This window comes from Homo sapiens, chromosome 5 (genome assembly GCF_000001405.40).
Source record: "Homo sapiens chromosome 5, GRCh38.p14 Primary Assembly".
Classification (NCBI taxonomy): Eukaryota; Metazoa; Chordata; class Mammalia; order Primates; family Hominidae; genus Homo; species Homo sapiens.
The window spans coordinates 127,094,007-127,115,679 of NC_000005.10; the positions used below are offsets into that span (position 1 = coordinate 127,094,007).

At 41.2% G+C, this 21,673-nt stretch overlaps 2 annotated features.

Annotated features, from left to right (window-relative positions):
* Window positions 1,533-2,032: an enhancer, noted in NCBI's record as "H3K27ac hESC enhancer chr5:126431231-126431730 (GRCh37/hg19 assembly coordinates)". NCBI's record gives its function as "activates a minimal SCP1, AML or CMV promoter by ChIP-STARR-seq in primed H9 embryonic stem cells {active_cell/tissue: H9 hESC(primed)}" and the evidence as "EXISTENCE:reporter gene assay evidence [ECO:0000049][PMID:30033119]".
* Window positions 2,541-3,083: an enhancer, noted in NCBI's record as "NANOG hESC enhancer chr5:126432239-126432781 (GRCh37/hg19 assembly coordinates)". NCBI's record gives its function as "activates a minimal SCP1, AML or CMV promoter by ChIP-STARR-seq in naive H9 embryonic stem cells {active_cell/tissue: H9 hESC(naive)}" and the evidence as "EXISTENCE:reporter gene assay evidence [ECO:0000049][PMID:30033119]".

Genomic DNA, 21,673 nt, shown 5'->3' on the forward strand with positions numbered 1-21,673 from the left:
TACTGACTTTATTGATAACATTTGTCAAATATCTGCTATGCAGTTGGATGCCTGTTAAACAGTTTACATGCATTTTATTTTTATAGTAACCTCATGAGGAGGTACTCATCTCCATTTCACAGATGAGAACACTGAGGTTCAGATAATGCTGAAGGTCACAAAGCTAGTAAATGCTGAAGCCAGGAGTAAAACTCAGGTTGTTCTGATCCCAAAGTCTATTCTTTCTTTATTCACTTGCCCAAGAGATAGTTGAGAAAGAAATATGCTGTGTTAATTGAGGCCCTTTGTGTTCTACACTGGGAAATTGCTCTGAAGAGGGACATTCTTCTCACAAACAATGCTAGCTTTATTTCACCCAAAAGATGTCTCTGGTGTGATTTCTAGAGTATTGCCCTGGGTGCTCAAATCTGCCCACTACACTCAGCAGCCAGTTTTCCACTGATATTTGAGAGCTATTCCTTTGGGTTAAAGCTGTGCCCTGTAGCGGGGAATGTTTATTCCATTATGTCATTTGGCCTTCATGAGAATGTGCTTATCATGTTATATTCTCTTGGGGTGCTGCAGAGTTCAGTGCAGATTGTGTAGGGAAAGCTGGAGAGACAGGGCTATAGAATGTGTGAGAGGTGTGAGGTGTGGGCCCCTCCAGGGTGGAGCAGACAGTGAGGCCCAAGCCTTCAGAGGGAGTAGCGGGGTTGTGTCATTGTGAGCTGGAGTTCTTGAAGCTCAAGGCTGCTCTCTTTTCAAATCCATCTAATCCTCAGCTGGATGATGGCTTGGATAGAGATGTTAGAGAATGGGCATGTGAATAATAAAACACTCCATTTTCCTCAAATTGATATCTAACCATGTTCATTTATATTTAACTACATGCAGCCCATTTGAATGGAAATACAGTTCTCTCTGTTTAATCCAACTACAACCTAATCCTACTACTAACTTATATTTATATCATGCTGACCATTTACAAAGAACTTTCATAGACATCACCTCATCTGGTTATTCTAGCAAACTCTAAGGAAATAATTTTCTTCCTTTTCCTGCTAAGGGACTTGAGGCTTACATGAATTAAATGATTTGCTCAGGATCACAGAGCCAGGCAGTGGGGGATGTGCGGGGAAGCACACCTCATGTTTGGATTAAAAAGCCACAGCTCCTTTGGCGGCATCAAGCTGCTTCTTTGACTACATACTCATTCGCCTTCTAGAAACCTGAAAAGCTGGGCTCCCCAATCACAGACTGGCTTCAATAAACAAAAAGGCTGACCTAAGTCTTTCTATTCTTCCTGGGTATACACAGTCAGTCTGAAGCCCAAATTATGGAAGCACTCCCTCTAATTCTGCTCTCATGGGATGGCTTTCAAGGATTGCAGCTGGTTGCGAGCCAGCTCTGCTGTTGAATGGGTGCAGTGGATATGTTGTTGTTTTGGTCAGGCTCCTCAGTTCCCTTTTGACTGTGTGTGCCAGTGGGTTTGGTGAAATATGCTTTCAGTGGCCAGTGCCTGGGGCTTGGTTTCCTAGAGAGCCTCTGGTTGGGCAACTCTGAGGTGTTGCTTATGCCCTATCCCAGAGCTCCCCTGTGGGATCAGGTGAAGTCACTGAGTGGGTCTTTACCTGAGGTCACAACTTCGCTTGATTCCCTGCCCTCCCCAGTTCTGCCTCCCTCACTCCCTCGTCAGTGACGTCTGGGAAGACTTTCTTACTAAATTGCTTGCTCATGAATCCTCATCTCAAATTCTGCTTCTAGGGAATTTGCCCATGGGAGTGGGTGCATGAGAGCTCTGAAGCAAAGCTCTGTGACCCATCCTCCCTTGCCAGGGTGAGTAGTAGGGACCGGGAGCCAGGGGTGAGGAGCTCACCTTAAGATAAAGGGCATCAGAAGTGTGTCCCAGAGTCTTTGGGTTGTCCTAGTTTTGTATTTATTTTCAGATCTTCAATTAAGTAGTTATAATGTTAATTAGTTGCCTGACCTTAAATTATTTAAGTCTCTGAGCCTCTTTTCATATCCCTAAGATGGGGATAAATAACATTTGCCTCTTAGGGCAATGATAGGGATTTAATGAGATAAGACAGGTAAAGCACTTAACATATTCCTTATAAGTGGTGTTCAGATATTATTACCTAGTCTTCTTCCAACAGTTTGTGTGGAAATTTATCTAGTAGCATTCTGGAAACATTGCCAATAGAATGGGTTAAAGTCACAGAATAATACTACAGCAGTGCAGCCTTGTATTTCTGTGAATTTCATAGACTTAAAGACAAAAGCTGTTTATACTCATGTAATCCAAGTGTCTCCGGATTTAGCAGCTGCTGATTGCAAATGCAGTCATATATGAAACCCCAAAAGTCAATAGCAGTGAGCAAACCCCCATTTGACTGGCTTCTTGTTGAGTCAAGGAAGCCCAATTTTTATAGAGCTCCCTCCAAGGGGTGCTCGCATAGGTCCACAATTATTCCTCATCAGTTTGCTGAGCCCAGATGTGTAGCTCTACATCGTTTTGCATGCAGCTTGCCATACTGCTCCTATCAGCGCAGCTGTTGGTGCTGCCGCTGCTGCTAGGGAAGATGGAGGTTCCCACACATGATGTCATTTTAAAAATGGAGTCAAACCACTGCACCTCAAGCCTTACGATCCCCATTGTTGTTTTTGTGAAGACGGAGGATTTTTCTTTTCTATTTTTTTATTTTTTGCACTCAGTTGGGAAAGTGACAGCAAAGTTGTCTGAGCCCACAGTGGTTGCTGACAGAGCTCTTTCAGTTGCAGATGGCAGGCCCAGAGCTCTACAGTAGCCAGGTCCAGTAATTCCAAGAGACAATGAAGTGCTAGAACGCTCTCTCCTTGTCTTTGTTACGTATGCACAGGTGGTAAAGCACTCCTGAGGAATCAGGAATATCTCTGTTGTGCGTCAGGGTCAGGGAACCTGATGGCTACCACATCTGATGCTGCCAAATGAAGAGAAAGTTTCTTCTGTCTCTCTCTCTCTCTCTCTCGAGAGTTCTTGTGTGTGTGTGGGGGGGGGGGGGGCGGGTACAGGTGGAAGGGCAGGATGCAGGAAAAGCCAAAGGACCCATAATGAGTTTACCAGAGCCCAAAGAGTTCCAGCATTTTAATATGTTTTCAGGTAACACACAGAACCTCCTTTTCCTCAGGACAAACACATGCTGTCAATCTCCTTGGGTGACAGTGAATTCTGGAACCTGCCACATCCCAAAACCATAATTACCTCCCGCCTACAACTTCAAGCCCTGTTGCAGGGTCTTATGGCAGAGATAAAGCAATTACTATTTAAAACCATGAGTGACTGCGGCAGCTTCAGCCTGTAAGGAAGTAGCATAATTTCTCTCTGGAGTAAGTAGCCTTCTATTTAGCAAAGATGAGGCCCCCAGGGCATGATTTGGAAAGAGGCATTGAAACAAAGAGATAGCTAAACCAATCAGCACAAAAAGTAAACAAGGATTTTACAGGGGATAAAAGCAGAGAAGAGCAGACAAGGGTGCGGGAGGAATGAGGGGTTAAGCCACATAGTGGAAGACTGTCAGTCATTGGGGAACACCACAAGTTGGACATCACCAGTGGCCAGGGAATGTTCAAAGACAAGGATGTTTGCATTGCCATTTCAGGCTGCTTGCTCTGTGTTGAAAGTTAATCGCCTGCAGTGAGGCCATGTGTGAGTGGTGAGTGGTGTTTCTGGAAAATCAAAGGAAAGAGTCTTCGTTCCAAATCTGAGTAGCTAGAATACATAGCAAATGGAGCAGCCATGGGATGGATAGGGGCCTTTGGGGGGATTCAGAGAAATATTTAGGAGGAGACTGGGTTTTTATTAGCCATAGAATGGGGTGGCTGTCAGCCAATTTCATGTAATTCTCAGAAGACAAGAAGACTTCAACTGATGTCTGGATGACAATCTACCCCCTTGCAATCTGACTTTCACCCACCTGCTGTATATGTCCCATGTGGCTGCATATGTCTGAGTCTCAGTAAATTTCTAGGTTTTCTTTTTCCCAGTCTAAGGAGGCTCCTCAGACCCACGCAAATCACTGGAGGCAAATGGATAAATAGGAAGACAAGTGTGTGTAATTGACATGGGGAAAAAGCAGGGCTCATGGGGTGTAATCATGAAGCAATTTTATTTTGCCTTCCCAACCCCTGGGTAAAAATTTTAGGTTGCCAAGCACAATCTTTATTCAGCAAGTCCAACCATAAAATATCAATACTCCAAACTTGATTTAAAATAAAATCTCCCCTTCTCCAGTTAAGTCCTGCCACAGGAAGGGGGGCCCTAGAGGTAGAGGAGGGGAGGTGGAGTCACTGTCTGCCTCTCTCCTTCCTCCCTTACTAGCCTCCACCCACGGGTTGGAATAGGAGAGGGGAAGGAGGAGAGTTAAAAGGGGAGCAGAAAAGTTCTCACGTGACTGAAATTCTTTAGATGGGTTTGTGGTTGGTAGGCCTGGCAGGTGTTTAGGTTTGATCATCTCATCAGAGCTTTGGTCCTTTGGAGATCACTGAGGGCAATTCCTCTCTTGATTCAGGTGAAGCCTCTACTATGGCTGATTGCTTACTCCTTCTGCAGCCCCCAGATATCTGGCAATACCTTTAGTGTCTTTCCATGAGGGCCTGTTTACCCCTCCGGGAAGCCTCTTTGGACAGGACTGACGGAGACCCACATTAATCTTTGTTATGTGGCTCACATCTGCCCATAGGAAACCCTCACCCATTTTTCTCCCTGACAAACTCTGAGAGTATAGGCTGCCCAATACAGCTACTCATTCTTTGACATATTCATTAGCTCATTTTAATTTTCAAGCGCGAGTGAGACACTACCCTATATGCTCCCTAAACTGCAGTCTGTTGAAATCCTGATCACTGCTAGGCATGAGACGAGGGGCAGGTACTGCCCACCTGCCATACTGCAAGGAGGAGGGAACAGAGAGGAAGCCTGGGATGCATAGTATGGTTCTCTCCAACCAAAACCCCTTTTTCTAAGTCCTCAGATTTCAGGTGATTTTGTACCCTCCATATACATGAAAAGTTTAAGAGATGTCTCACCAATTCTTGTCACCAACTCTGAAGTTCCTGCGTGGAAATCTAAAAGAACTTGGATTGTGACATCTATCAACTTATGCTTTAGCTGAAATGTTCTCTCAGAAGCTGGGTTGCTCCTTTTTGTGGTCTGACTTCCATTACGGCCACCCCAGCCATCAGACCTGGTGGTCCGTGTCTGAATTCCAATAGTATAATGTTTCAAGTTTTTCTTTTCCTCTGAGACATTCTTCAATTCCAATGACAATAAGTGGGTCTGAATGGTGAAGGAGAGATAGGCTCTTTCCTCCATCTACTTCCCAGAAGCACTTAAGGCTCAGTGTCTGCCTTGCCAAGACCCCTTGTTACAATTCAGATGTGTCTTACGGGTTCTTCTTTCCTTTTTTTTTTTTTTTTTTTTTTTGAGAGAGAGTCTCGCTCTGTCACCCAGGCTGGAGTGCAGTGGCACGATCTTGGCTCACTGCAAGCTCCGCCTCCCGGGTTCACACCATTCTCCTGCCTCAGCCTCCCGAGTAGCTGGGACTACAGGTGCCTGCCACCACACCCGGCTAATTTTTTTTTTGTATTTTTAGCAGAGACGGGGTTTCACTGTGTTAGCCAGGATGGTCTCAATCTCCTGACCTCGTGATCCGCCCGCCTCGGCCTCCCAAAGTGCTGGGATTACAGGCTTGAGCCACCGCGCCCGGCTACGGGTTCTTCTTTTCAATCCTTTTCAATCCTAAGAAGGACATAACATGCTGAAGTGAAGGTATATTAGGATGGTTTTCTCTGATTTTTTTTTTTAATTTGATCCTAAGTATGGTATCATGAACGTCACATGTTAGGATCTAGCAGAGTTTGAAGAATTATTGTAAACCCCTGTAAACACAGAGCAAGGTAGAAAGTGATTTTCATCGTTCTCTTGCTCCTCTTACCATCCTACCTGGGAAATACACTCCCATTCTTATTTGGACTGATTTTTTTCCTATGTAGTGCAGTGGCCTTCATTTTAAAGCCTACAATTCAACATGATGTTTTTGGGTTTAGAAGTTATGTTCTTGATGGTGTGAAAGCTACATCAAATTTCAGATTTGTCTTGTGTAATGTGATACATGGACATGCGGTCGCTGGTATTGGTTGCTTGTAGCCAAAGAACCATAAAAAGTACACCTAGGAATAGGGCCTATGGTTTTGACAGTAAGTATCGTTAGAGATATAGCTTTCCTTCTAAGTTGGCCTACTAGGTTGAGATTAATGAGGAAGGTGTGTGTGTGTATACACATACCATTCACTCAATCAATTCCAGTGAAATAACACAGAGAAGACAAAAAAAGTGGCCATTAGGGAAAATAAGTGGACCATGGGCACAGAAAACCTCCTGTTCCATTCAGCTGTGCTAATTAGTAATGAGCATAACATTCTTTTTTTTTTTTTTTAAGGCCAGACGGTGTCATTTAGTAAAATAAATAAATACTCCTCCCTGCCATTTACTAATAGTCTGAAGCCTTGGTTGCTAGTTCTGCCTCTATCTGTTACTAGTCATATGATCCTAGGAAATTGGAAACTTCTCTGAGCCTCAGGTTTCTGCATCTACAAAGTGGAGATAGACCTAACTATTGTGTTATCTTCACCTTTAAAGAATATAGTGTTCATGAAATTGCTCTGTAAACTGGACAGTGGGGCCTTGGTGTAAGGCATTATGTTCAGGTGTGAGTTGAGATTCCCCGAGGTATAGAGATCTTGCATTGGCACTTGAGGGTCTTGAAGAAGATTTTCAATTTCAATTTATGCATGTACCCACCGGCTGTATTGACACAGCACAAAGCCAAGGGCAGATTTGACAATGATTTCTTTAATTTTATTGATGTGAACTGCAAAACTGGGCCATTCAGTCTGCAAAGTATCTAGGCTGTAATGATCTGACATTGGCTGTCTACATTCATCAAATTAAGTGGATAATTAGCAAAACACCATTTGACTTTGTGATGTAAAGACAGTAATTGTGGCTCTTTCTCAATTAAAAATCTCATCCAAAGTCATGATTTTGGTTGTCACATCTGTGCAGATGATTTCCACATTTGTTTATACCTCCAGCTTTGAATTCTTTCTGAAAAGACTACATTATTTTCCCAACAGTCACCAGGCATTTTCCCTCATGCATTTTCCCTCCCCATTATTCCTTCCTGGGATCTTCATTTTCTTATCCCAATCAGCCAGTCTCAAACTCTCAGGGTTAACTCTGACTCCTCTCTTCCCCACACGTTCCCTAGTCAATCAGCTGCCAAGTTCTATCAATTCTATCTATGAAACACCCTTGAAATCTTCCTTCTCCTCTCTAATTCTACTGCCCTGCTATCCTACTACTTCATCAAGGCCCAGCCTATTATTACAAAAACCCTGTAACTGGCCTTCCTTTTCCAGTATTGCCTCATTCCAACCCCGTCTATATATTAATGCTCTCATCCTGCTTTTTCTCTGCTCAAAAATCCCCTGGGGTGGGATTCTCACTGTCTAAGAAACAAAGCCTGAATTCTTCCTCCTGGTGTTCTCAGCATTGCAAGGCCTGGCTCTAACCTGTCTTTCCCACTTTATCTTCTCCCACTCCCCTTCATGTACACTACTGAGTAATTCTTGGTTTCCTGCACGGATTCATTTCCCTTTTGGATGCTGTCCTATGTTCACACATCTCCCTCCTCTGGAAATTTCCTCCTCCTCATTATAGCCTTCAAACCCCACTCCAAGCCCCACTTATTCTTCAAGAGCCATTCAAATGCCACCTCCCCACTGCGCTCCTTTAGGCTTCTGGTTGGAAAGACTCTCTCCCTAATCTGTACTCCACTGCACTTTAACAACATCTGCCCAACTTTCTCCCCTTTAGACTATAAATTCCTTTAAGGCAGGATTTGTGCCAGAGTCATCTCTGTATTCCCCAGGGTCCACATATCCTGCATATAGTAGCTGTTCTTTAAATACCTGTTGAATAAATGAATGCTTGTAAAGAAAGCATGCTTCTAATCATATTTTTTTCTTATCTTCTAATGTGGGATGCAACTTCTTATTTGACTATGTAAACTCATGTGGTGAAATATTTTCCTTCAAGGACACATAATATGCTCCTATGGCCTCCTTCTCTCTGATAAGGTTGGTCTTTTACCAGTGGTTTGTAGCACTAATTATAGGAGGGAGGAAAGAAAATTCTGGAAAGTAGATTACAGAAGAGGAAAAACAAACATGAGAATTCTAAGTAAAAATGGAAAATAGCATGTTTACAAAGAAGGACATCTTGAAAGGCAGCATTCCTCTAGGGCAGTGCTAATTTTAAGAGGAATAGAAGAAAAAGTAATGTATTTTTCTAAAAGGAGAAACTGAACTTGTAAGAACTGTAGAATAATCAAATTATTGTGAAATTGGGCCAGACTTTCCCCAGAATTCTGTAGCCCATTGGATTTGACAAGATTAGACAAGAGAGGTAAAAATGATGGTTGGACTAAAGAAAAGGACTAATGGAGACAAATTATAGGTATGGTCATGGTTTCACCCCAAAGATAGATGAATGGTGTTTAAAAGACCATCATATCCTACAGATGGGAGCTTTTCTTGTCCCTCCCAATCTACCCAGCGCATTGAAAGAGAAAAAGAGCAAATCGAAGCAATGCATTTTGATGCAAAATATAGAGACAGGGATGGTTAAAACTCAAGAATAGAGGCAGGATTTCATATGGATACATTTCATAGTAATACAATAAATTAAATATTTAAAAGTTTATTTTTAGGTTCACCAAAAGAGCCCAAAGTCATCAAAATGTCCCATACTAAGATCCTTCCAAGAGAATTGATTAGAGCTTTCTGACAGTATAATGTGATGGATTAGTGAGTTTTCCTCAATTTGTTGATGAAAAAACAGTGCTCAATGTATTATTTTAACATAGTAGCTATTAGGTTAAATGCTGTTACGACCAGTATTAATTGTTAAATATTAACAAAGGTTCAGATATAATCTTGCCTAAGGGCAAGAGGATGTCTCACATTTTCCAGAATATCTATGACTCTAAGTAAGTTTACTATTTTCTTTTTTTTTTAATTTTATTATTATTATACTTTAAGTTTTAGGGTACATGTGCACAATTTGCAGGTTAGTTTCATATGTATACATGTGCCATGCTGGTGTGCTGCACCCATTAACTCGTCATTTAGCATTAGGTATATCTCCTAATGCTATCCCTCCCACCTCCCCCACCCCACAACAGTCCCCAGAGTGTGATGTTCCCCTTCCTGTGTCCATGTGATCTCATTGTTCAATTCCCACCTATGAGTGAGAACATGTGGTGTTTGGTTTTTTGTCCTTGCGATATTTTACGGAGAATGATGATTTCCAATTTCATCCATGTCCCTACAAACAACATGAACTCATCATTTCTTATGGCTGCATAGTATTCCATGGTGTATATGTGCCACATTTTCTTAATCCAGTCTATCATTGTTGGACATTTGGGTTGGTTCCAAGTCTTTGCTATTGTGAATAGTGCCGCTATAAACATACGTGTGCATGTGTCTTTATAGCAGCATGATTTATAATCCTTTGGGTATATAACCAGTAATGGGATGGCTGGGTCAAATGCTATTTCTAGCTCTAGATCCCTGAGGAATTGCCACACTGACTTCCACAATGGTTGAACTAGTTTACAGTCCCACCAACAGTGTAAAAGTGTTCCTATTTCTCCACATCCTCTCCAGCACCTGTTGTTTCCTGACTTTTTAATGATTGCCATTCTAACTGGTGTGAGATGGTATCTCATTGTGGTTTTGATTTGCATTTCTCTGATGGCCAGTGATGGTGAGCATTTTTTCATGTGTTTTTTGGCTGCATAAATGTCTTCTTTTGAGAAGTGTCTGTTCATGTCCTTCGCCCACTTTTTGATGGGGTTGTTTGTTTTTTTCTTGTAAATTTGTTTGAGTTCATTGTAGATTCTGGATATTAGCCCTTTGTCAGATGAGTAGGTTGCGAAAATTTTCTCCCATTTTGTAGGTTGCCTGTTCACTCTGATGGTAGTTTCTTTGCCTGTGCAGAAGCTCTTTAGTTTAATTAGATCCCATTTGTCAATTTTGGCTTTTGTTGCCATTGCTTTTGGTGTTTTAGTCATGAAGTACTTGCCCATGCCTATGTCCTGAATGGTAATGCCTAGGTTTTCTTCTAGGGTTTTTATGGTTTTAGGTCTAATGTTTAAGTCTTTAATCCATCTTGAATTAATTTTTGTATAAGGTGTAAGGAAGGGATCCAGTTTCAGCTTTCTACATATGGCTAGCCAGTTTTCCCAGCACCATTTATTAAATAGGGAATCCTTTCCCCATTTCTTGTTTTTGTCAGGGTTGTCAAAGAACAGATAGTTGTAGATATGCAGCGTTATTTCTGAGGGCTTTGTTCTGTTCCATTGATCTATATGTCTGTTTTGGTGCCAGTACCATGCTGTTTTGTTTACTGTAGCCTTGTAGTATAGTTTGAAGTCAGGTAGCGTGATGTCTCCAGCTTTGTTCCTTTGGCTTAGGATTGACTTGGTGATGCGGGCTCTTTTTTGGTACCATATGAACTTTAAGGTAGTTTTTTCCAGTTCTGTGAAGAAAGTCATTGGTAGCTTGATGGGGATGGCATTGAATCTATAAATTACCTTGGGCAGTATGGCCATTTTCACGATATTGATTCTTCCTACCCATGAGCATGGAATGTTCTTCCATTTCTTTGTATCCTCTTTTATTTCATTGAGCAGTGGTTTGTAGTTCTCCTTGAAGAGGTCCTTCACATCCCTTGTAAGTTGGATTCCTAGGTATTTTATTCTCTTTGAAGCAATTGTGAATGGGAGTTCACTCATGATTTGGCTCTCTGTTTGTCTGTTATTGGTGTATAAGAATGCTTGTGATTTTTGTACATTGATTTTGTATCCTGAGACTTTGCTGAAGTTGCTTATCACCTTAAGGAGATTTTGGGCTGAGACGATGGGGTTTTCTAGATATACAATCATGTCGTCTGCAAGCAGGGACAATTTGACTTCCTCTTTTCCTAATTGAATACCCTTTATTTCCTTCTCCTGCCTAATTGCCCTGGCCAGAACTTCCAACACTATGTTGAATTGGAGTGGTGAGAGAGGGCATCCCTGTCTTGTGCCAGTTTTCAAAGGGAGTGCTTCCAGTTTTTGCCCATTCAGTATGATATTGGCTGTGGGTTTGTCATAGATAGCTCTTATTATTTTGAGATACAGCCCATCAATACCTAATTTATTGAGAGTTTTTAGCATGAAGCGTTGTTGAATTTTGTCAAAGGCCTTTTCTGCATCTATTGAGATAATCATGTAGTTTTTGTCTTTGATTCTGTTTATATGCTAGATTACATTTATTGATTTGTGTATATTGAACCAGCCTTGCATCCCAGGGATGAAGCCCACTTGATCATGGTGGATAAGCTTTTTGATATGCTGCTGGATTCGGTTTGCCAGTATTTTATTGAGGATTTTTGCATCAATGTTCATCAGGGATATTGGTCTAAAATTCTCTTTTTTGGTTGTGTCTCTGCCCGGCTTTGGTATCAGGATGATGCTGGCCTCATAAAATGAGTTAGGGAGGATTCCCTCTTTTTCTATTGATTGGAATAGTTTCAGAAGGAATGGTACCAGTTCCTCCTTGTACCTTTGGTAGAATTTGGCTATGAATCCATCTGGTCCTGGACTCTTTTTCGTTGGTAAGCTATTGATTATTGCCACAATTTGAGATCCTGTTATTGGTCTATTCAGAGATTCAACTTCTTCCTGGTTTAGTCTTGGGAGAGTGTATGTGTCCAGGAATTTATCCATTTCTTCTAGATTTTCTAGTTTATTTGCGTAGAGGTGTTTGTAGTATTCTCTGATGGTAGTTTGTATTTCTGTGGGATCGGTGGTGATGTCCTCTTTATCATTTTTTATTGTGTCTATTTGATTCTTCTCTCTTTTCTTCTTTATTAGTCTTGCTAGCGGTCTATCAATTTTGTTGATCCTTTCAAAAAACCAGCTCCTGGATTCATTAATTTTTTGAAGGGTTTTTTGTGTCTCTATTTCCTTCAGTTCTGCTCGATTTTAGTTATCTTTTGCCTTCTGCTAGCTTTTGAATGTGTTTGCTCTTGCTTTTCTAGTTCTTTTAATTGTGATGTTAGGGTGTCAATTTTAGATCTTTCCTGCTTTCTCTTGTGGGCATTTAGTGCTATAAATTTCCCTCTACACACTACTTTGAATGTGTCCCAGAGATTCTGGTATGTTGTGTCTTTGTTGTCGTTGGTTTCAAAGAACATCTTTATTTCTGTCTTCATTTTGTTATGTACCCAGTAGTCATTCAGGAGCAGGTTGTTCAGTTTCCATGTAGTTGAGCGGTTTTGAGTGCGTTTCTTAATCCTGAGTTCTAGTTTGATTGCACTGTGGTCTGAGATACACTCTGTTATAATCTCTGTTCTTTTACATTTGCTGAGGAGAGCTTTACTTCCAACTATGTGGTCAATTTTGAAATAGGTGTGGTGTGGTGCTAAAAAAATGTATATTCTGTTGATTTGGGGTGGAGAGTTCTGTAGATGTCTATTAGGTCCGCTTGGTGCAGAGCTGAGTTCAATTCCTGGGTATCCTTGTTGACTTTCTGTCTCGTTGATCTGTCTAATGTTGACAGTGGGGTGTTAAAGTCTCCCATTATTAATGTGTGGGAGTCTAAGTCTCTTTGTAGGTCACTCAGGACTTGCTTTATGAATCTGGGTGCTCCTGTATTGGGTGCATATATATTTAGGATAGTTAGCTTTTCTTGTTGAATTGATCCTGTTACCATTATGTAATGGCCTTCTTTGTCTCTTTTGATCTTTGTTGGTTTAAAGTCTGTTTTATCAGAGACTAGGATTGCAACCCCTGCCTTTTTTTGTTTTCCATTTGCTTGGTAGATCTTCCTCCATCCTTTTATTTTGAGCCTATTTGTGTCTCTGCACATGAGATGGGTTTCCTGAATACAGCACACTGATGGGTCTTGACTCTTTATCCAATTTGCCAGTCTGTGTCTTTTAATTGGAGCATTTAGTCCATTTACATTTAAAGTTAATATTGTTATGTGTAAATTTTATCCTGTCATTATGATGTTAGCTGGTTGTTTTGCTCATTAGTTGATGCAGTTTCTGCCTAGCCTCGATGGTCTTTACAATTTGGCATGATTTTGCTGTGGCTGGTACCGGTTGTTCCTTTCCATGTTTAGTGCTTCCTTCAGGAGCTCTTTTAGGGCAGGCCTGATGGTGACAAAATCTCTCAGCATTTGCTTGTCTGTAAAGTATTTTATTTCTCCTTCACTTATGAAGCTTAGTTTGGCCAGATATGAAATTCTGGGTTGAAAATTCTTTTCTTTAAGAATGTTGAATATTGGCCCCCACTCTCTTCTGGCTTGTAGAGTTTCTGCCAACAGATCTGCTGTTAGTCTGATGGGCTTCCCTTTGAGGGTAACCCGCCCTTTCTCTCTGGCTGCCCTTAACATTTTTTCCTTCATTTCAACTTTGGTGAATCTGACAATTATGTGTCTTGGAGTTGCTCTTCTTGAGGAGCATCTTTGTGGCGTTCTCTGTATTTCCTGAATCTGAATGTTGACCTGCCTTGCTAGATTGTGGAAGTTCTTCTGGATAATATCCTGAAGAGTGTTTTCCAACTTGGTTCCATTCTCCCCGTCACTTTCAGGTACACAAATCAGATGTAGATTTGGTCTTTTCACATAGTCCCATATTTCTTGGAGGCTTTGTTTGTTTCTTTTTATTCTTTTTTCTCTAAACTTCCCTTCCTGCTTCATTTTATTCATTTCATCTTCCATCAGCAATACCCTTTCTTCCAGTTGATCGCATTGGCTCCTGAGGCTTCTGCATTCTTCACGTAGTTCTCGAGCCTTGGCTTTCAGCTCCGTCAGCTCCTTTAAGTACTTCTCTGTATTGGTTATTCTAGTTATACATTCGTCTAAATATTTTTCAAAGTTTTTAACTTCTTTGCCTTTGGTTTGAATTTCCTCCCGTAGCTCAGAGTAGTTTGATCGTCTGAAGACTTCTCTCAACTCATCAAAGTCATTCTCCCTCCAGCTTTGTTCCGTTGCTTGTGAGGAACTGCGTTCCTTTGGAGGAGGAGAGGTGCTCTGCTTTTTAGAGTTCCCAGTTTTTCTGCTCTGTTTTTTCCCCATCTTTGTGGTTATATCTACTTTTGGTCTTTGATGATGGTGATGTACAGATGGGTTTTTGGTGTGGATATCCTTTCTGTTTGTTAGTTTTCCTTCTAACAGACAGGACCCTCAGCTGCAGGTCTGTTAGAGTTTGCTAGAAGTCCACTCCAGGCCCTGTTTGCCTGGGTATCAGCAGCGGTGGCTGCAGAACAGCGGATTTTCGTGAACCTCGAATGCTGCTGTCTGATTGTTCCTCTGGAAGTTTTGTCTCAGAGGAGTACCTGGCCGTGTGAGGTGTCAGTCTGCCCCTACTTGGGGGTGCCTCCCAGTTAGGCTGCTCGGGGGTCAGGGGTCAGGGACCCACTTGAGGAGGCAGTCTGCCCTTTCTCAGATCTCCAGCTGCGTGCTGGGAGAACCACTGCTCTCTTCAAAGCTGTCAGACAGGGACATTTAAGTCTGCAGAGGTTACTGCTGTCTTTTTGTTTGTCTGTGCCCTTCCCTCAAAGGTGGAGCCTACCAAGGCAGGCAGCCCTCCTTGAGCTGTGGTGGGCTCCACCCAGTTCGAGCTTGCCGGCTGCTTTGTTTGCCTAAGCAAGCCTGGGCAATGGCGGGTGCCCCTCCCCCAGCCTCGCTGCTGCCTTGCAGTTTGACCTCAGACTGTGTGCTAGCAATCAGTGAGACTCTGTGGGTGTAGGACCCTCTGAGCCAGGTGCAGGATATAGTCTCTTGGTGCACCATTTTTTAAGCCCGTAGGAAAAGCACAGTATTAGGGTGGGAGTGACCTGATTTTCCAGGTGCCATCTGTCACCCTTTTGTTTGACTAGGAAATGGAACTCCCTGACCCCTTGCACTTCCTGAGTGAGGCAATGACTTGCCCTGCTTCAGCTTGCACACGGTGTGCTGCACCCACTGTCCTGCCCCCACTGTCTGGCACTCCCTAGTGAGATGAACCCGGTACCTCAGATGGAAATGCAGAAAACACCTGTCTTCTGCATCACTCACTCTGGGAGCTGTAGACCGGAGCTGTTCCTATTCGGCCATCTTGGCTGCCCCTCTACTATTTTCAATACACATGTAAATGTAAAACTAAAGTTCTGTGACCAAGTTCACTACTCAGAAAATATTTTTATGAGACCTTTGGATCAGAAAATATAGATTGTGGTCTATTGAGGTCTATGCTCTTTGGGGAATTGATTATATCAAAACAGATTTTATTATCTTACAGAGATACTTTGTAAACTATTGGCTAATTTAATTTCAGGTTATCCTCTTCAATTTTGTGTCCTCCCTGCTTATTAAATTCTTGGGCTCAGGTTAAAAAGGAAATCAAAAGATCAGGGGAAGATAATATAAAACGTCAACATGCTTATCGAGGGACCCCCAACTTCTCCTCTTCATCCCCACTGTCAGCTGATGCCAGAGCCGCTGAAATTGTTCTTGTCAAGGTTACCATGATCACCAGGTTGCTAGATCCATTTGAATTTTCTATTCGTCCCATATCTGATATGACTTCTCAGTTCTTGAACTGTTTTCCATGTGTCTTTCAGGGCACTTGTTTTTTTCTACTCCCTAACTTGGCTGATCTTCCACTTGTTTTTTTCTACTACCTAACTTGGCTGATCTTTCTCAATATCCTTTGCTGGATCATACTCTTCTTCATGGCCTTGAAACATAATGGGTCCTGGAGCTCAGCCTTAGACCTTTTCTCCCGTTATGCTTACTTCCATTTCTATGACTCAAACACATCTACAGACTGATGATTCCAAAATATGTCTCCAGCTCCGTCATCTCTCCAAACTACTGACTTGTATAGGCAACTGACCACCTGACATCTCCATTTGGATCCTAATATACTATCATATATTATGTCCAAAGCAGAACTCTTTTCTCTCTTTCTTTTTTTTTTTTTCAGACAGAGTCTGTTGCTCAGGCTGGAGTACAGTGGCATGATCTCAGCTTACTGCAAACTCTGCCTCCTAGGTTCAAGCCATTCTCGTGCCTCAGCTTCCCAAGTAGCTGGGATTACAGGCATGTTCCACCATGCCCAGCTAATTTTTGTACTTTTAGTAGAGACGGGGGTTTTGCCATGTTGCCCAGGCTGGTCTCGAACTCCTGGACTCAAGCGATCTATCCATCTTGGCCTTTCAAAGTGCTGGGATTACAGGCATGAGCCACCGCACCCAGCCCAAAGCACAACTCTTAATCCTCCTCCCTGAAACTGCTCCTTCTGTAGACTTTTCCAGGTCAGTAAATGGCAACTTCAATCTTCTAATTGGGCAGGCTAAAATTGCAAATGACATAATTGGTTCCTTTTTATTTTTTTGTTCCCATCTTATATCCAGTTGATTTCACCTTCAAAATCTATGTGGAACTGACCATGTTTTACTCTTCCTCCCCATCACCATGCTTCTGCCCTATTCTTCTGTTGTTCTCTTCACACAGTAGAGACAGTTAACCTTTTAAAAGTGAGTCGAATCATGTCACTCCTCCACTTCAAATCCTCTGCTGGTCCCCATCTCTCTCATTGTAAAAGCCGAAATTTTTACAAGGGTTTCTGGGGCCCAGCACATCCTGGATTCCCATTTCTCCTTTGGTTGCATCTCTCCCTAACCTCCTCCAATGTTCTGCTCCTGCCACATGGACCCCCTCATTGTTCCCCCAATACCCCAGGTACTCTCCCTTCTAAAGGCCGTTTTTTCCATCTGCCTGGAACACTCTTATCTGAGATATTTGTATAGCTCATTCCTTTGACCATGCCTTTGGCTACCATCATCTTTTTAGGGAGGCTTGCCCCACCAACCTAGTTAAAAGTCTAATCCTTCTAGCCCCCATCACTCTCTGTCTTCTATCTCTGCTTTCTTTTTCTCTGCAATGTTTGTTGCCCTCTGACATAGTATACCTTTAATTTATTTACTTGTTTATTGCCTATCTGCCCTACCAAAATAAAAGCCCCATGAGGGAGGGGTCTTTGTCAGCTTTGTTCACTCAGGTTGTGTCCTCAGTGCCTGTCACAGTGCCTGGCACAGATGAGGCACTCAATCAATATTTTAAAAAAATGAATGAATGGGAAGTATAGTAATAGCCAGAACAATCAGGCAAGCTAAAGAAATAAAAGGCATCCAAATACGAAAAGAAGAAGTGAAACTATCTTTCTTCTCTCACAACATAATTCTACATCTAGAAAACCTTAAAGACTCCACCAAAATCTACTAGAACAGCAAGCTATTTTAGTAACGTTTCAGGATACAAAATAAATATATAAAAAGTAGTAACATTTCTGTATACCAATAATGTCCAGGCTAATAATCAAATCAAGAACATAAACTCATTTACAGTAGCCACAAAGAAAATGAAATACTTAGGAATACAGCTAACCAAGGAGATGAAAAATCTGTACAAAACACTGCTGAAAGAAATCAGAGATGACACAAATAAATGAAAAAACATTCCATGCTCATGGATTGGAAGAATCAATATTATTAAAATGGCCATACTGCCCAAAACATACTGCCCAGAACAGATTCTACACTACTACTGTTAAATTACCAACATCATTCTTCACGGAATTAGAAAAAACTATTCTAACATTCACGTGGAACCAAAAAAGAGCCCACACAGCTAAAGTAATCCTAAGCAAAAAGAACAAAGCTGGAGGTATCACACTACCTGACTTCAAACTATGCAATAAGGCTATAGCAACCAAAACAGCATGGTACTGGTACAAAAGTAGACACACAGACCAATGGAACAGAATAGAGAACCCAGAAATAAAGCCACATGCTTACAACCATCTAATCTTCAACAAGGCTGACAAAAACAAGCAATGGGGAAAGGACTCCCTATTCAATAAATGGTGCTGGGATAACTAGCTAGCCATATGCAGAAGGATGAAACTACACCCTTACCTTTCATTATGTACAAAAATTAACTCAAAATGCATAGTAATTTAAGTGTAAGACTTCAAACTATAAAAATTCTAGAAGAAACCTGAGGAAATATCCTTCTTGACATCAACCTTCACAAAGAATTTATGACTAAGTCCCCAAAAGCAATTGCAACAGAAACCCAAAATTGACAAGAGGGACCTAATTAAACTGAAGAGCTTCTGCGCAGAAAACAAACAAACAAAAAACTGTTAACAGAGTAAACAGACAACCTACAGAATGTGAGAAAATATTTTCAAACTATACATCCAACAAAGGTCTAATATCCAGGAATCTATAAGGAGCTTAAACAAAACACAAATAACCCCATTAAAAATGGGCAAAGGACATGAACAGACATGTCTCAAAAGAAGACCTGTAAGTGGGCCAACAAACACATGAAAAAAAATGCTCCACATTGCTAATCATCAAAGGATTGCATCTCAAAGCCACAGTGAGATACCATCTAATACCAGTCAGAATGACTATTATTAAAAAGTCAAAAACAGCAGAGACTGAGGAGAAAAGGAACCGCTTATACACCATTGGTGGGAATGTAAATAGTTCAGCCACTGTGAAAAGCAATTTGGAGGTTTCTCAAATAACTTAAAACAGAACTACCATTTGACACAGCAATCCCATGACTGAAATACATCCAAAAGAAAATAAATAATTCTACCAAAAAGACATAATGTACTCGTATACTCATTGCTGCGCTAGTCACAATAGCAAAGACATGGCATCAACCTAGGTGCCCCATAATGGTGGACTGGTTAAAGAAAATGTGGTATATATATATACAGTGGAATACTATGAAGCCACAGGAATAATGAAATCATGTCCTTTGCTGCAACATGGAGGCAGCTGGAGGCCATAATCCTAAGTGAACTAGTGTAGGAACAGAAAACCAAATACTGCATGTTCTTACTTATTTGTAGGAGCTAAACATTGAGCACACATGGACTTAAACATTGGAACAATACACACTGCAGACTACTAGAGGCAGTAGGGAGAAAGGATGAGGCATGGGTTAAAAAACTACCAACTGGGTACTATGTTCACTACCTGGGTGCAATATACCCATGTAACAAACCTGCACTTTTAACTCCCATATCTAAAATAAAAGTTTTTTTTTTTTTTTTTTTTTTTTTTTTTTTTTGAGATAGGGTCTTGCTCTGTCATCCAGGCTGGAGTGCAGTAGCACAATCATGGCTCAATGCAGCTTCAACCTCCCTTCTCAAGCAATTCTCCTGCCTCAGCCTCCTGAGTAGCTGAGACTACAGATGTGCACCACCAAGTATGGCTAATTTTTTATTTTTTGTAGAGATAGGGTCTCACTATGTTGCCTAGGCTGGTCTCGAACTCCTGGGCTCAAGCAATTCTCCTGCCTTGGCTTCCCAAAGTGCTGGGATTACAGGCATGAACTACCACACCTGGCCTCTTCGTTCTTTCTCTAGATCATTATATATATTACTGATAGAGATGATCAACAAAGATTAAACCTGACAATATTGGTGGAATGACTGAAAAAGAGAAAATATGTTATAATGCCTACTATAAATGTTCAACATGTTAGATAGTGTGTTTACTACAGGTATTGGAAAAAAGTATGAGATTTCTTTTTGAATATCTGACAATATGCTATTCAAGAAAAGAACATATGGGAGAGTATTCATTCATGTGCCTATTGTATATCCTCAGAGTACATTGTCCATATCTCTATAAAAACCTTAGTTATGGCTTTACACATTTGTCTTACCGTTTAGTTTGTGAGTCCTCAAGAACAAGGTCCCTCTTAATTTTTTTACATTCAAGTCTGAACATAGTCTCTGGGACATATAAGATGGTAGTAAAAGGTAGTATTGCTATTATAAATCATTATTAGAACAAATAAATGTGTGTTGAATGAAAGTTATGGATATTAAATTCTCAAGGACTTTGGAAAAAGTAGAGATCAATATGGACTAGGTAAAAGCAACACAATTAAGGTAGATTATCTGGTTTATTAGGCACAATAAAAGGCTCCTAATCCAGATATTTTTGCTTAAAAAAGAGTAACACCCAAACTCATTGAAGCTTGAATTAGCCATAGTGTCTGCCTACATTGATCAGATAATATGGATAACTCATCTCATTTCAGGTTATTGCTATGAAGATACAATCTTCACATCACATCTGTAATTACCTTCTTCCAGGACCGTATTATAACTGCTTTCAGATTCTTTCAGGTGTAGAAAAAAGAAGGTATTAAATGAGAAAGAAAAAGATCTATTAGAAATTTAGAAGACAGGATAAAGCATTGTGTGTGCATATCTTTAGTAAACTGCTATTTTATGGCCCTCTCACAATATGTACCTTGGAATAAATATAATATACCTCTAACATAGGCATGGTAAACAATGTTTGAAGACATGAGAAAAAATGTATAGATCTGAGATTCTTCTATATTTGATGGAAGCATTTCTTGCAGATTTATTGCCAATTAATCTTGAATTCCTTCATCAGAAAAGGCAACTATCACTATTGCCATCCTTACTGACTCTTAATAATAGCTATAACTTGGTGCAACATACGCCATTCTGAGAAGTCATAATTTTTATTAATATTTGCATATTTTGTTTATCTAGCCCTGCCTGAACACAGTGTGAATTATTCCAAGGTAGTGATTAGTTCTTATGTCCATTAATATGCATTAATGCATAATAGGCATTAATAGGACTCATTTATAGCTAAGTCTCCCGTGCAAATACGCCATTGTATGTGTGTTTTGTTGCATGTGTGTGGTGCCATGGAGAAGCACTGCTCATATCTCCCTTTGAGAGAACTTGCTGCGGGAGCAGAATTGGCTTGCAGCTTCTAGAAGCTGTGGCTATACCTTCAAATCTGCCAAGGCGTTCGTGTTGAGGCCATGCTTTCCCTGGCAATGACTGAGCATGACAGAGTTATCGGTGACAGCAGGTGCCTGACTCCCCTCACAGGCAGCCCCTGCTTGGGGTCTCCATGTTGACCTGGCTATTCTCAGAGCTGCACTGCAATCTGAAGTTCTTCCTACCCAATTTTTCTTCACTGTTGTCAGACATGCATTGCTGTCTGAAGGTTCTCTCTGCCTGTTTATTCCTGCTCCTTCACAGGCATGTCTCTAATAAATCTCTTGCGTATCTCATCCTGTCTTGGTGTCTGTTTCTTGGAGCACCTGAATTGACACAGGTAGTACCAGAATTGGTCCAAGAAAATAGTTGCAGAAGTGGTCTAAGAAAATGTGGACTAAGTGGGGACTGGCTCACTTTCTGCCTGGTTGGTAAGAAGGATCTCACCCTGAATGGAACATGGGGCATAGATAATCCCTGGCACAAGCTAGTGGTCCAATTGCTGAAGATTTCCCCTGTGATGATTTGGGGAAAATGTCCCAGTGGAGAGAAACACTTTTATCAGTGTGATGATTCAGGTATTTGAAAGATATGAGGGAATGATGGCTACAAGAACAGTGAGGTTAGCTGGTGGTAATGATGCCTTTGGGAGTGAGGGACAATTGAAGAGAAACTGAGATAGTTAACGAA